This window comes from Homo sapiens, chromosome 1 (assembly GCF_000001405.40).
Source record: "Homo sapiens chromosome 1, GRCh38.p14 Primary Assembly".
Taxonomy (NCBI): Eukaryota; Metazoa; Chordata; class Mammalia; order Primates; family Hominidae; genus Homo; species Homo sapiens.
This window is the reverse complement of record NC_000001.11, coordinates 83,752,364-83,768,132: the sequence shown is the minus strand read 5'-3', so window position 1 is coordinate 83,768,132 and position 15,769 is coordinate 83,752,364. Positions and strand designations below refer to the sequence as shown.

General features: G+C 39.1%; 1 long non-coding RNA gene across 1 annotated transcript in view, besides 1 other annotated feature; it reads left to right on the top strand.

Annotated features, from left to right (window-relative positions):
* The window catches only part of LINC01725 (long intergenic non-protein coding RNA 1725), a 285,210-nt gene that overhangs the window by 92,864 nt on the left and 176,577 nt on the right, over positions 1–15,769 (top strand). The gene's annotated exons all lie outside the window — the stretch shown is intronic.
* Positions 7,083–7,232: an enhancer, noted in NCBI's record as "active region_1245". NCBI's record gives its function as "activates an Ori minimal core promoter by ATAC-STARR-seq in GM12878 lymphoblastoid cells {active_cell/tissue: GM12878}" and the evidence as "EXISTENCE:reporter gene assay evidence [ECO:0000049][PMID:35858748]".

The following is a 15,769-nucleotide window of genomic DNA, read 5'->3' as shown; positions in this document are numbered from 1 at the left end:
ACACAGAGCTGTAGCAAGGATCAAGTCATTTCACATGTGTAAGTGCCTAGAACAGCACCTGCTGCATAACAAACACTGTCTAAATGTTAAGGCTTATTACACACAATGTATGTTGAAGTTCATTGACGAGTGACAGTGGCAGTCCCACATCATACCCAGGGCCACAGAAGAATATCCCCTATGGGTTTATTTGAATTGCACACTCCAAACTACATCGTGAACATGGATTCTTGTGTATTATTTTTAAATGAAAGCTATGCAGCCACAGTCCCTATTGTTAGGGAGGAGTGGTGATCCTCTAGTTGGAAAGTTGGGGTGGGGATCTAGAGGGTAGGGGTGTTGAGGGGATGGAATAGAAGGTAAAGCTAGCAAGGAGGTATAATGGTGAGAGGGATAGGTCAGTATGTTGTGCTAAATCCCCAACAAAAGCCCAAATCATGCTTCTATTGCCTTTGTGGATTATGCTGGTTTTCCTGGCTAGCCTAGAACTGGCACCACGATAAGTGAAATCAGTCGCTAGAGCTCTTTCAGGACTAGATGCGTAGTCACGATATATTTGTCAGTTGTATATTTTCCTGTCAAATAGCTGTTGGGTGGAGAACCATCAAAAGAGAATTTTTCTTTGTCAGATAAACTTTTTACAATAGAAGAATGTAGTGATGGCTTCTGAAATAAATCTAGTGGCACTGGGGAGTTTACAAATACTAGCATATTAATATACAGCTAAAATAATAATAAAAAAACACCATGCTGCTAAAGATGTTTAGTATTATCAGCTCACTGCAGGAGTTTATTAGAAACTCCCGCTTTCTTTTATTAAAATTTCAATTGGCTTGGTGAATGAGATCCTATGTTAGTGTCATAAAGTGAGAAGGCAGAAGGAGAGGATATTGGCATTTAGGTGCAGATTTCATTTTAAAAACACTTCACATTATAAAAGAAGATTGCCTATTGTAAATATCATGTATAATGTTAGTGGTGTTAAAAGTAGTGTTAGTAATTTTTAAAAATTCATCAAATTTTCTTTGTTTATGATGATATCTAGTAGATTTTATATTTCTGTAGTAAAGCAAAGTTTCAAATTTATCCCAAGATGTTTTTAGCTATAAGCAGCAAACATGGTTTGTAAAAAGTTTTCATAAAATGATGCATAAGCGTAATTTAATGGGAATCCTCTTTGGCAGTAGCATATGACGATTGCTTACTTTTATCATTAGCCTATATTTTCCCTCTGTATTTTGGAAGCTTTTGTTAAACTAACTTGTTTTAGCAAGGCAGCTGGACAGATTACAAACCTTAATTTACTATTGAATGTTTGGGTTGGTGTTATAATAAATTACATGGAGCACCTTCTGAAGTAAGCCCAAGATTTTCTTTCTTGGTATTAAATGGCCACTGCTTCCTTACCTGGTGAAACGCTGAGAAGATGGCGGCATGCAAAGCTCTAAGGTGCAACAGCTGGGGAGCCAAGCTGAAACCTCTCTTCCCTGTCTCAGCATCTGGAGTCTTCATGGAAGTGAGAAGTTTGCAGGTTTGCAGCTGCAGCCCTTTCATGACAAGTTCGGTAAATTTTACACATGGTTGCTTGCTTAGAAAATATTTTCCAGATTTAACATGTTTACAGCATTGACATTTGAAGCTGAAGCCCCTTCCTTCTTGATTAGAGCAGAGAGTACTCACAGACTGCATTCTAACTTTATGGGGTTGGAGAACTGGGAATGGGTCATTTACAATTTTCAAACAAATCAAAATGCACTTTGATCTCTAGTCCAAGTTTCTTTAAATGCAATGAGTAATAATAATAAATTAGCCCAACTTAGCTATTTTTCCCTTAAATATGGTCATTTTTAATGTAATCATTTTATTGCATTCTAAAATTTAACCAACATATTTAATTCATCTTATTCAAAGTATATATTTTCCGAGAAGGAACATTAACTCAGGAAATTAAGTAGAGGAGAGGCCTGTGTGTGTGTGTGTGTGTGTGTGTGTGTGTTTGTGTGTGCATAGTTTTACATTTTAAGCTGCAACATTCTGTGAGAATATGAATTAATAATAAAAGCAGCATTTATCTTTACACATATTTTCCAATTGAAATTTCTCATTTTATCTATAAATCTCTAGGTGCACTGAATATTGTCAAAGCAATGTATGGAATATTTTGGCAATAAGATAAATTCAAAACAAAGAGACTGCTCTTGGATTTTCCAGTGTTTAAATGAAATCCCTAATTTAAAATTTTAGATTAATTTTGCATTAATACTATCAGTTCTGTTTAACATTGATTTAGATCATATTGAAATAAGGTGAGAAATCATTACCTTGTATTGATACAATCTATTTTGGGGAACCATAAATGTCCAATTGGCTGTCTAAATGCCCTTTGGTTTCTAAGAGGCATGTAAAAGGCATTCATATAATGCGATACATTTTACCATACTCATCTCCACAAATGCAAGCCCTATTGCTTTAAACTGGATTTACTGGAATCCAGATGCACAATCCTGAGAATTTTCTTTAACAGTAGTCACATTGTTGAATACAATATTTCTTCTTCATGATTTAAGATAAACTATGGCACATTCCACATGAAAAAGCCATTTGTAGAATAGACTTTAGATTATGATTTTTAAATACAAAACAACAGCCACCTCTGTCCCTCCAACAAAACAAAACAAAACAAAACAAAACACTGTACCATTGTGGAAAAAAAAATTGCATTTGGTAGGTATCAATATTGTGCGTATAATTTGAAAAAACAGAGGACAGTTTGTTCTTTCTCATACTAAGTTTACTTTGCCTTTTCCCCTGCCCCATAAATAAATGCTAGATGTTTGCTCTAAGTAACGTTTAACTCAGCTCAGGAGTGACTTCTACGAGCAGCCAAATGATTTGTATTGATTTTGATTTCTACATTTGTAGAAAGATATTTTAGCAAATCTTTTGGAAAGAATAAAATACTCCAAAATCAAATTCATTTGTGATTAATTGCAGAGTCAAATATTTTAATTTTAGCCAGGAGAAAGATGAGAACAAATGAAGAAATATGAAGATCCGTAATGAAAAGCAATAAAATAATCTAAGTGAATCATTTTATTAAAATGGTTGTTTCACTATAAATAAGGAACCATAAAAAATACAATTTGTATATTCTGTTACAAAAAGCCTCACTGTAGGCAGCCAACTACTAAAATTTTATATGAAAAAAAAAAATGCTCCCCTAAGGAAATGTGCGTATCTGCTGTTTCTTTTTAACAAAGATTGAGATGCTTATAAAGAATTTAGCAAAGACTTCTAAAAATAAAACCTTTTCTGCCATCCTCAGCCCCTTCACACACACTGTGTATGTGAGGGCTTGTTTTTTGGTTTTTGTTTTTGTTTTTTTTCCCTATTCACATTGAATTGCCTGATTCCAGTTTAAATTGCTAGTCAGTGTTTCACAGCTTTGCACAGCACTTTCTAACCCTTTCCTCTTGGGTATCTCTATTTGAAATGAAGCTTTACTGTCTCTTATACACCCGAAACAAACAAGTGTACCTACTTGATGGTTTAATTGTAACTGGCTAAGCTGAAAACAATGAGCAGCAAGTTCAGGAAAAAATGTGTGGGACACAACCAGCTGAAAAAACTAAAACCCTCTGCAGAGATGCAAATGATATTTTATTATTTGAAACAGCTGCCGTGTAGCCTTAGACACTTTTTTTTTTTTTCCTGCAGATTTTTCCTAAATAACTTCATGCTTGTGTGGTATATCCTTTCATGCTTTCCCTGGTGACCAAAGCTCTCATGCCATTTACCTTGCTCCAGGTAATTTGGGGAAATACCACAGACTTGTGTCATTACAGAGTCTGTATAGTTGTTTGGCTGCTAATTGATTCTCAAAGGAAGCAGACTGATGCTGTCACTCCGATGTGATGTTAAAAATTCTTCCATTTCAGCATGCTTATTTTAGCAAAATTAAAACTGCTAGCTGAATGGATATTTGACTGAAAAAGCTTTTACAAAAAAGGTTATCATAAATATTGTCTTTACGAGTCGAAAAAAGAAACCTGTGTAAGTTTTCAGGACTGAGGTGCTCTTTTTTACTTTTTAAATTTTTTACTGTGGTTTTAGCTGTTACATACTTAATACATATATTATGATAAAAATTAGATCTGGGTACTTTTAACCCATGGTTCAAGAGGATTCATGCCCTGTAATCAGAATCTCAGAGGACAGTGTAATAACTAGTTGTTTTAAAAATGGTTTCATGTTTCCTAAGTCTTTACCGGGTAACCCTGTTTTTAATGTCAGTGTTGTCATAAATGCTGGGACATAATAAACTTCCACATAGACATGTCCTTACATTAAAAACAGAGCCTGGTGTCGATTTTTTAAAGGTACATTATTCCTGTGAATGGGTTTATCAGCAGTACAACGACATTACAAGACAAGCTAAGCCATAAAAAGGATTAAGTGGCACTGTATAATACTGATTAAGTAACAGAGCAATACATGCAGTTGTGAGAGTAACTAGTGCTGCCAAGTCTTCTGAAACAACACGGTCATAAAAGTTTACTTTCCTTGCAGACCCAACTTTTTCCTCTGGGGTCTTCTCTAACAATATTCAAACATCAGCTCTTCTACAGTCACTAAATTCTGCCTGCATTGAAAACCGTCTTCAACAACAAAAGCCAATTTTAGGTCTTCCTGTTGTAATAATGCTTCTGTGATAGGTGGACTAACCTCTGTTTAATTCTGCCTCTGCCACGTATCAGCTGAGTATGATTCTTAACCTTTTCAGTTTCCTTATCTGTAAAATGGGGGTCATGAGACTTAAAACGTTGTTATGCAGGTCAAAACAGATAATGCATAAGGTGCTTAATACAGACATTAATTCTTATTAAGGAAGATAATTGTATGTCATTTTCCCCCCAGTGATAAATATGTTTTGAGAAATAGACCTGCTTTTGTTCCTACAGAGATATCCTTATTATTTTATTCTTATGACAACACCCCAAGAATATTCTAAAATATTCTAAAAAGAATACTCTTGGGGTGTTGTCATAAGAATAAAATAATAAGGATGTGGCAAATAACCCCAGAATATGTATAATGCTGTGCCCTAGAAAAGGGGCCCTGCAAATGGTCATTGATTTAGATTACATGAAATTTAATGTAGGTGCAAAAAAGATTTCAGATACATGCACCTTTAAAATGCTTTTTATAAATGACTTGAATTATTTGCCCAAAGGATATGTTTAATGTAAGAATATTCCAAAACTGAAGTTATCTCACTGAAGATTCCTCACCTGTCAGCTGCTTACAAGAAAAGTTCATCCAGTTCAATTTTTATGTGAGAGATTAGTTTTAGGAGATAATTTCACCGATATCAGTTGAAATGCTTTTCATATGGGCCATGGAGTGTTATAAATTCTAACTTAATAAAAGGCGAAGGAAAAAAATTGCCTGTAGATTTCACACATGGAATCTATTCCACGTTGTTTTTGCTAGTTTTTCCAAGACCCCGAGGGGATCCAACAACAATAGGTTATATTGAGTGCAATTAGAACCATAATGCAGAAGCAAGTAAATTAGGGCAGATGTTGATATTTCAAAACTAGTCTGCTTTTCTTACATTTGGACACAATTCACGAGATGCATTGAGAAGTACTGTGATTACTGACAATGTCTCCTCTTCAATATATCAAGACTGTTTACAGAAAACAGAAAAAAGCATCCATTAGTGCAACTCCAAAATCTTACCCTAAACAATGTTATTCTATTATATGGTAAGTGTTGTAATTATGTAACTGCACCCACAATTGGAACCCTAGATTTTGAATGTTTAAATTTAATTCTGCATGTCACCTCTCTGGGTTATGCAGCAGACAGATGTGAGCCGGAATGGGGGGCAGTGGCACTGGAGTTGGGACCAACAGGGTAGATAGGGTGAGGATCGTTGAGCAATGCTTTGTTATTAGACATCAGTGTGTGCTGTCAATGGCTTAGTGAAGCTGCTCGTGATTTGGGAGGGGCTTCTCTGGCCAAGCAGGACAGAAACCAAAGGAAAGAAGGAATCATAGTGGGAGTGAACAGGAGGTGTGGAGGGGGTCAGGGTGGTCAGCGCTAGTCTGCAGAGAAGGAAGGTGCCTTTTAGGAGGAATCAAGCCGGTGGAATGCAAATTCAACTGGGAATAGAAGCCGGAGCCTTGGAGCAGCTTCAGGGAAAACTACTCTCCAGTTTTCTGTCTAAACAGCATAGCAGTAGAGGGAGCCAACCCCAGAGGACTTCTGCAGCCAAAGAAACTCTGAGTTGGGGGGAGTATATTTTATTTTTATTTATTATCACAACACGGACTATAAATTTTAAAACCTATTTGAGTAATTTCCCTGCAGAAGAAATCTGACTCTGTTCCCACAGCCTCCCTTCTCTCAAAGTGCTAAGTGTGCCACAGAGCATTTGGAATTCTTCCTTCAAAGTTCCAGGTTGTCCAGCCCCTCCTACCACTGCAGGTCTCTCTTGGTCCTGCTGATACTGGAGCTTATTTATGAGGGCTGCTGAGGGGTGGGTGGGCAGGGGGACAGCTGCCAGGGCCTGCCCCCCACCATGGGAGATTTGTGGCAGGTGGAGGGGGAGGCGGATATAATGACCATTTGCAGACAACCTATTTAAGCAACTGTTTGTTATACAATAAAAATTACTCGGTGGCTCTGAGCATGAACTCTCCAAGGGAGGGTGCTGTGGGAGGCAGTTGGAGACTTTGTTTTAATCAAATGAGCAAGCAGGAGCTTAGGGCTTTGTTGCGAGAGGGGATGGCTTTGTGGCGGCCTTTCTTGCTTCCTCCTGGCTTCATTTGCTTGTCAGGCAACAGTGTGGCCCCTGGGGGACTCCCCTAGATGAGGCAGCTGCAAAAGAGAAAGTCTCTAGAATTGGGAAGTGGTAAGTGTAACTCAGAATCTATAGGGAGGGAGCTGGGCAGAACAGTTTTGTGAAGCACCTTCCAAACACACAGGTAAAGGTAACTCCTTTCAGTTATACACATTTTCATAAGAACAGGAGCAAATAATATTCATGCCATGTCCTAACACACCCTAACGTACACTGAGTCTAAGCTGTAGTAACTGACAGAAGCAGCAATTTCCAGAGCCAAGGACCCTGAGAACTGAATCTCATGAGCCTCTAGAGGGGAGAACCAGGGGCCAGTGGTAGCAGAGCTCCCCAGGTGAACCCAGGCACCAGGGAGCCTCCAGATTGCTGCACAGGGGACACAGCAGCTCCAGGAGACAATCTCTGAAATTCCACCAGCATCCTTATGTGTCTGCATACTGCAGGAGAATGTTGGTGTCAACACACTCTGACATCAGAGTGTGATGTCACACACTCTGATCCTCATCCCTGGCTCCAGGACCCCATAGCCTGAAATGATTTTTAATACATGCTATTTGCTTATTTCAAGGAAAAGGGTCAATCGCTGAGCAAGAGGAAGGGAAAGAGAGTCTGGAGCATTTGAGCAATAAAAGTGAGGTCAGATAAAACCCTAGCATTGCAGAGCTTGCATACAAGCTGGATTTCTCTATGGGTTTTTACACCAAACAAAAGACAAACAGTTCGTCTACCCATTTGGCCATGGGAGTTGCAGGGAGCACAGTTCTGGCAGCCGAGCTGGGCTGTGGAGAAGCTAAGTTCTCTATCATGCCTAGGGCTGCCATTTGGGGCTGCCCACCAGCTTGTCAATCTCAGTGCATGTAAAGCTAGTGATTAGAGGACTTAGTCTCCGTAGCTCATCTCTTTGAAGCTGATTCCCCACTCAGAGACTCTCCCTGCTGTAGAGAGACTGGAGTCTTCCGCAGGTTCCTCCTGCAAGCTGTTCACCCTGCTTTGTATTATTTCTTGGCGTTTGTATGTACCCTGCTTGCATCTAATGTATATTTATTCTCAAGGACCGAGAGCCTCAGCAGGCAGCTGAAGTTTAAGTGAGTGAATGGCACAGCCGCACTGGGAAAGATTCATTATCGGTACATTTCTAGGTTATTTGACGTGGGAGAGTTTCAGCAGTTTATCTGGTGAGGAGAAGGCAAAGTGACAATGTGGGAACCTCTTCTGATGTGCAAAAATGTGCAGCCGACACAGGATTGCCATTTATTAAATCATAAATGTAATGCCAGATTTTTTCCAGAGAACAGCAGGGAAAATAAATACTTGAGGCGTGGGCCAGTGTCCTAGAACTAGCCCTGGGTCCTGTCCATCACTCAAGCCACCTCCCAGGGACTCCGTTTCTCTAGATGAGCTTTAGCTCTCTTAGCGGCAACATTATGAAGCAGAGTTACTAATATGACTCTTTTGAATATGAAAAATAGAGAGAAAACCCTTTTTAATCTTTGTTTTTATGGCTGCAAACATGATTACATAGAGGAAAATCAATCCCAATGGAACAAAATGGATAATACAAAGTAATTGATTGGCCTTTATCATTTTCCATTATGATATTAAAATAACACCATAATATCAAGCGGCAGCCACTGATACATAAAGGAAAACCGGAGATGATTATGTCTAAGGGTAATCAGGTCACGGAAGTGTGAAGGTAAGATAAATAAGGTAAATACAAAAATGAAAAAAGGCTTAAAAGAAGCAAAAGGGAGTTGGTGGCAAAGAGGCTACATAATAGAAGGGAGATCTAATGTTTGGAATATCATTAAGCAGTAAGCCACGAGAGACAGTCTATTGCAGCTGTGTGATTGCAGTATGTCTCGGTTGGTGTCCCAAGCCATGGGGGCAAAAGCTGAGTGACTTTAACTTCTCAGGAAGTGCAATAATCCTTTCAGAATACAGTGCCTGCAGGCCTACTGCCATCAGGCTATGAAATTTAGAAAATGAAATAGAGGAAGCATTTAGCTCTTCGTATTTCCCAGGCACTAATGCCACCAACATGGCATCATAAGCAGCCACTTAGAAAACCTTCATTTACAGCCAACTTTTCAAACTGCTGGCGACCAGTGTGGCTTTGCAGACCTGGGATGCCATGGTTTGTGTCCTATTGGCAAGCAGTTGATGCGAACCCGTTGATAAAAATTGCATCAATATAATGCCTGGATACATTAATCTGTGTTCTTCCCTATTATATATTTCCATACAGATTTATTTTCTCTCTTTTAACATACATTCATACTTACATGCATAAATGTTACTATTTATACCACTTTATGTAAAAATAGGACAAAATTTTAATTCCTACCAACATTTTTCTTCTTCGGAAATGCTTCATATTAAAAATATGTATATGTGCTTTGTGTCTGATCAATAAATAAATATATGTAGGAGCCAGTTAATTAAAAATAGATAAGATAATTGTTTTGGTATTATTACATAACATGCTTCTGAATTAGACTTCTTAACACGATGTCACACTTGTGTTAAGCAAACATTGCAAATAACTCTGTTGTGGCCGGAAGTCAGCATTCACACTTAAAACATAGTAGAAAAATGTCATGCCCACCAGAGTGATCCTGCTCTTTAGATTAGCAGTAATCAGGAATATAGCTTAAGGTGGCGGAACAAATCACTGTGTGGGTTGAAAGTATTAGTGGACTGGTTAGCTGTGATACCCTCAAGAGGTGTGGGAAGTAGTTGCTCACTTCGCAGAAGGACTCCAGATGTTATAGAATTTGTTTCTGACTTTCTGAAATCCTGGATTGTACTCATTTATTCATTCGTTTGTTTATTTGTTCCAGGAACACTAAGTTCCTATTACGGATGAGTCCAGAACTGAGGCTACAGAGGTGGTCTCAAGAGGCACTGTATTAGTAAATGTCCTCCAGAGAAACAGAACCAATGGGATATATCTATCTCTGTCTGTCTATCTATCTATCTATCTATCTATCTATCTATCTATCTATCTATCTATCTATATCTGTCATCCATCAAAAGTGATCAATTTGTTCGACTTATGGAATTGGCTCACTTAATCGTAGAGGCCAAGAATTCCCACTATCTGCCATCTGCAAGCTGGAGAACCAGGTAAACCAATGACGTAAGTAAGTCCTGGTCCAAGTCCAGAGGCCCAAGAACCAGGAGCATAGATGCTGAGGGTAGAAGAGGGATGTCTGAGCCAAATGGGAAACGAATTTGTCTTCCCTCTGCCTTTTTGTTCTGTCAGGGCCCTCAGTGGTCTAGATGATGCCTGACCACATTGGTGAGGGCAGATCTTCTTTACTCAGTCCACTAATTGAAATGCTCATCTATCCCAGAAACACCCTCACAGAGATACCCAGAAATGATGTTTTACCAGCCACCTGGGCATTCCTTAGCCCAGTCAAGTTGACACATAAAATTAACCATCATAGGTGCACAGGCTAATGGGGAGGACTGGTGCATATAAACAGATATTTAAAAAGGTCCTAGATGATATGACACAAACGCTAAGAAACACACAGAAAAGAGAAGTCAGGGAACAGCTTCCCAGAGACAAGTATAGATGGAAAAGTCTACTTTTCTGTGCAGATAGAATAGATGAGAAAGGGCATTTTAGACAGCACAATGCTTCCACAAATGGTCCAAGAGACACAAACAGCTACTGTGTTGGGAAACAGAGGGAAGGCCAGAATGGCTCATGTTCCAGGTACAGGGCATGGAGTGGCGGGAGATGACAGGATCGCAGGTGAAGCTCAATGCATAAGGGCCTTGTCTGCCATGGAAGACAGTTGCCCCTATGGGAAATCGGAAGCCTGTAGAGGTGTTTAAGCAAAGATACAGTCTGGCGGGGTTGTTTGGGGGTGACAGCACTTTGGTATACGATAGAAAATAGGTAGGACTGGGGAAAAGAGGGGCCATTACACAATGTATTGATCCACTGTTCTGGTTGAAGCTTAATGCACCAACTGTGGCTAGTGTGGAAAGAACACACCAAAACAGTTGTACTTTGTATAGCAAATGGTCTTGGCAGCAAGTCACAGAACACTGGCTTAAGCAATATTGAAACTTATGTAACAAGAAGTGATGGCTCTGTGTGGGCTACACCAGGGTTCCAGCTCCACTTCGCAGCCAATCTCTTAGCTATGCCTCTTCATGTTTTGGCTGCCTCCTTGGGCTGATAGCGATATGGCTGTAGCAGTTCTGGCAGTCCCATCTAGACATACGATGTCCAGAGGAAGAAGGACCACCTCTTTTTTTAATATCTCTTTCTTAGGAGTGAGGAATCCTTTCCCAGAAATTTTCAGCATGCCTCCCATCATTGGCCATATTAGGTCAAATGACCATTTCTAAACACTTGATATTGTTTTACAACAAACTATAGGGAATTAACTACCGTGTGTGTTCGGCCTTCCTCTAAGTATCTTCTCTTTTGATCTTGCACTTTCTCCTACTGAAAAGATAACTTCTAGCTAGTTCTGTAATAGGCAATGGACTCTTCCACACTATCCAGGGTACAAGTACTGCTACATTGCTCTATCAATGTAGGCGTATCCATGAAGATTGGGGGGATGTCTTCTACACTCACTGTACATGACTCCCTTCCCTTTCTTCATGTTGTTAGATGGAAATCCTGGGGTTTACACAGATCCATAAGATATGAGGAGGACCTCATCCCCAGTCCGCGGTGCCTCACTCTTGTTGTCCTTGCCCAGGCCTATAAAGTCTTCTCAGATGTGATTTAAGATTCCTGCAACTCTCTCAGAATCTGCACATCTCATCCCGTTCACAGGCCCTACGGATTCAAGTTCTTCCCAGTATAGATCCTGGCCTTTCTATACAAACCCAGATAAATTCAGCTAAATTGTCTCAGTGGGTGTGCATAGGCTTGATTAGTGATTGTCTGCCTGGGTTTGTTTCTACCTAGCAACTTCCCTCCAGATCTTGAAGACCCAAATGCCTGGTCACCTTGGCAGGGGAGACAGAAGATGTGCATTTGGAGAGTTTATTCAGTTCTTCCTGATGAGTGCATCGTCAGCCAAGTAATCAAATCAGTGACTTATTTGTCCATTCTATAGGATTGAGTGTTGTTCAATGTCCTGATACACAGTGCATCAGTGCATTGAAGGAGGAAGCAGCTATGCTGGGCTGACCTGAGTCTTAATTGGTCTCTTAGAGGAAGTCTGGCTTTGGGGGTTCCCCAATCCCGCAGATCCAATGTTCTCTTCTTCTATTACCCTTGCTCCTCAAGCCCCAAGACACCACCATTTCCTGAGTTTACTGATTGGAGGTGCTTCAGAGGGGAAACGATCAGATTGATCAATTCACACCAAGTAAGAAAAACTAACAATCCTGATTAAGATGGTATTCACATCAGAGCTATTTGAAATTTTAAAAAGATATCTTCCAACTCAGATAGACCAACTTCTAATGGTGGAATTTCAGGCAATATAGAGGAGTATATCTATTGGCAGAGTTGCAGGTGTGACTTCTTAAATTATTATATGTTCTAATAGAATCTTCTATAGACATTTATTGTAGAATATTATATTTTAATTGTCTGCTGAAGGGGATTTTTTTCCCCATAAAACTGTGACTTCCTTGAGGCCAAGACCATGCCTCATTTATTGTCCTGTCTTCAGCCCCTAGCACAATTCCTATCACAGAGCAGTTTAATGTTTTTTGATGGTTGCTTAAAGCATCTCTTTGCAATTAAGCTGTTACATGGTTCTGGGGGAATCAAAGAGAAAATTAAGAAATCATTTTCTCTTTTTCTGTCCACTAAATAATCCATACTTCCCTAACTTTCACTGCATTTATATTTTGTAAATCTCTATTGCACAGTTTGGAACTTTTTGATTGCCCCACAATTCCCTTAAAATGAAATGTCCCCTTCTAGGCCTTGTTATCTGGATGTTTTTGTGACCAGTTAAGAAGTTCCCATATTTGAAGTATTAAGTGTGAAGTATGAAGACCTAACTTGACTTTACCTCTTTTGGATGTTCATATGTGTTTCACAGATATTTCATCCCAGGGGAAATTTCTCTGATTTTCCCGTTAAAAACTCTTATTTCAGTCTGAGCCTGGGGCTTAAGTTTAACTTTTGAGAGGCTCATTCCCTTTGAGCTGGAATATGATTGTAAATACATGCAGGGTCTGTAGATAATTCTCACTCATTCTTTAGCAGAGGTGACACTATTGCAAGGTGAACTAGCAATAAGGCCTCACACACTGAAATGCTCTCCTGGCCTAGCTAAAAAAAGGTATCACAGTTGATCATTTTATGTTATAATGAATAGCTGTTATGTTGTCTTCCTAATATCTTTTTCTTTCAGCAATTGTCCTTTCCAACCTGTTGAAGATGTTGGCTATAAGCAGGTGTCTCCCCTGCCATGATGGCAGGCATGTGACTCAATCTGGCCAACTAGGGCACCCCCTCTCTGCTCTTGTGATTGTTCATAAATGGTCACATGACTCAAATTTAGCCCATTAGAGGCATCTTCAGGAGTTCTGCAGAATTTGTTAGTAAAGAAGCCCTGACTTCTCTCTGTCATAACTAAATCTAACATATGTTTTGAGTTGAGTTGTGGGGATTATTTTTGCCATAATGCGCAAAGAGAAAGCAGAACCAAGAGATAAATGAAGGAAGGGAGGGAGGAAGGGAGAGAGAGAGAAGGAGCACCAATGTAATGTTTGAAGACCTAGATCCACCCATATCTGATAATTTGATAAATTCTCTTTGATTCAGTTTAAGCTAATTTGAGTTAGGTATCTGTAAGTGACATCAAAAAAGATTCCAGGTAAACAAACATGTTCCTAGTTTATTTACACAAGTACAAATTATATGAGCTTTACGAGATAAAGGTGTATATATTTTTAGCCATTTTAAAATTGCATTTTGAAACCTGTCATCTGAATCCATTGAACTGGGTATTATCAAATATTAACTTTGAACACACTAAAAAAAAAAACTAGTACATGCTTTGTTAACATGACATTACTTCACTATAAGAGCAATTCCTACAGCCTACACTTACATGAATGTGCAACTGATTCAGGATCCTGTGACTTCTAGGGAATTCAACAAAATAGCTGTTAGTAACTAATTTTATATGTATCTGAGAAACATTGGGAAAGTAAACAAACTGGTTGTGGACTAAAGATAAGATTATACTCAGCATAAAAATAAGAGAGAGAGAGACTATGACAAGAGCAGAAATTTTGAGTCAAGTTATATGGAAAACAAAGTAGCTGATTTCCTTGGGTATGTATCGGCATTGGTAGCCTTAGGATCATTCATATTCTTCAGGTCACAGCTTGGATACTACTTCCTCTGAGAAATTCTTCATCATGGCACTCAGTACTTCCTTCTCAGCTAGCCGTTACTATACCAAATTTGAATTGCGGGTTTACCTTCTGGTTCCCCAAACAGACAATGAGCCCTTGCTCATTGCCACGTCTTGTTCATTGCCTGTCTTGTTCATTGCCACGTCTCTCTTATTTAGCTCAGTGCTCTGTATCTGGCCCATTCCCAAGGCATATTGAGCAAAGGGACATGTCTGTCAGTGATGTCTCAAGGCTGGCCGCGCAGAGGACCCGTGTTGTGGGAGCTTTCCCCTCTGGGTCCAAACCTGGAGGATACTGTTCTTTCTTGACCACTCAGCATCCCCGTTAGGTTGATTATTATGCTATGGTATTTATTATGTTTAATACTTAGGTGCCTCCGACAGAGTCCAAGGCTCAGCAGAAACATGATCATGCAGTGGAAACTGTATGCAGATTTATCTGACCTTGGTTTCTCTCCTCCCTACATTTTGTACATGTAAAACTGCTAATAATGTACTGTTAGACTTGGTTTCCAGGGTGGAAGAGGAAAAAAAAAGTATTCTGAATTTACCAAGAATGGTTTTAGGTATTTCAGGCTTGATGTCATTTAGTCCTCCTAATTACTGTAAGAATATTATTTCATTTTATAGATGACCAAATTAGACAGAAGGCAACTTCCTCTAAAATAGCTTGTAGTGAGGCCAAATTTGAATCCAGATCTGCCTAACTTTCCAAATGTAGGCTTTTTGCACAATACTAGTTAGAAGGATAATTTCAACCTAGGATATTCAAACCAAGTTTTGAATAAGTCAACTTGTTTATAATTATATATTCCTTGACAAAAAAAGCAATGTATTATAAAGTGAATTCAATTACACTCCTCTTTCAATTGTCAGCAATAAAAAAAAAAACTGTGGGGAGAGCAGATTACCAGCAAATTTTATATGGATAAAACTCATAAATAATATGTGAGTAACTAAAAGTTGCCATCAGACTGTATCCTTGGCTATAAAAAGAGACTGGTTATAAGTGAGGTGTGATGAGTACCATGTTAGGTCAATTTACTCCTCCAGAGTTTATGACAAATAATTATTTAGCAGATGGAATTTTCTGTAGGAAATTTCGTTTACTCGACTTCCTCTTTACTTACTCAGTTTCTTCCTAAGATTGAGTCTACTTAAGAATAACTTCTGGGATACCATTTGGGAGAGAAACACAGACTTACTTTATTCCAGAGGGAAAACAAAAGATTGTCTAAACATCAGCTTAATCCATAGACTGTAGTAGAGGTAGTATGTCTGTTCTCCATGAGGAAGTCTGGGGAGAGCAGAATAAATACTCTGTGTGGAAAATCCAGAAGGGACCTCTGTTGTGGAGTCTAAATTATGAAGTGTTCTCAGGAAACATGTATTTTATCCTGGGCTGAGGCCAGCTGGGGTTGGAAAGGCAGTCTCCAATGATTTGACATTTCCCTGATACCTCCTGGAGGAAATACTCAGGTTCCTAGAGGGGAGTGTGTTCTGGTCTGACAGTTCATGTCTATTTTCAAGG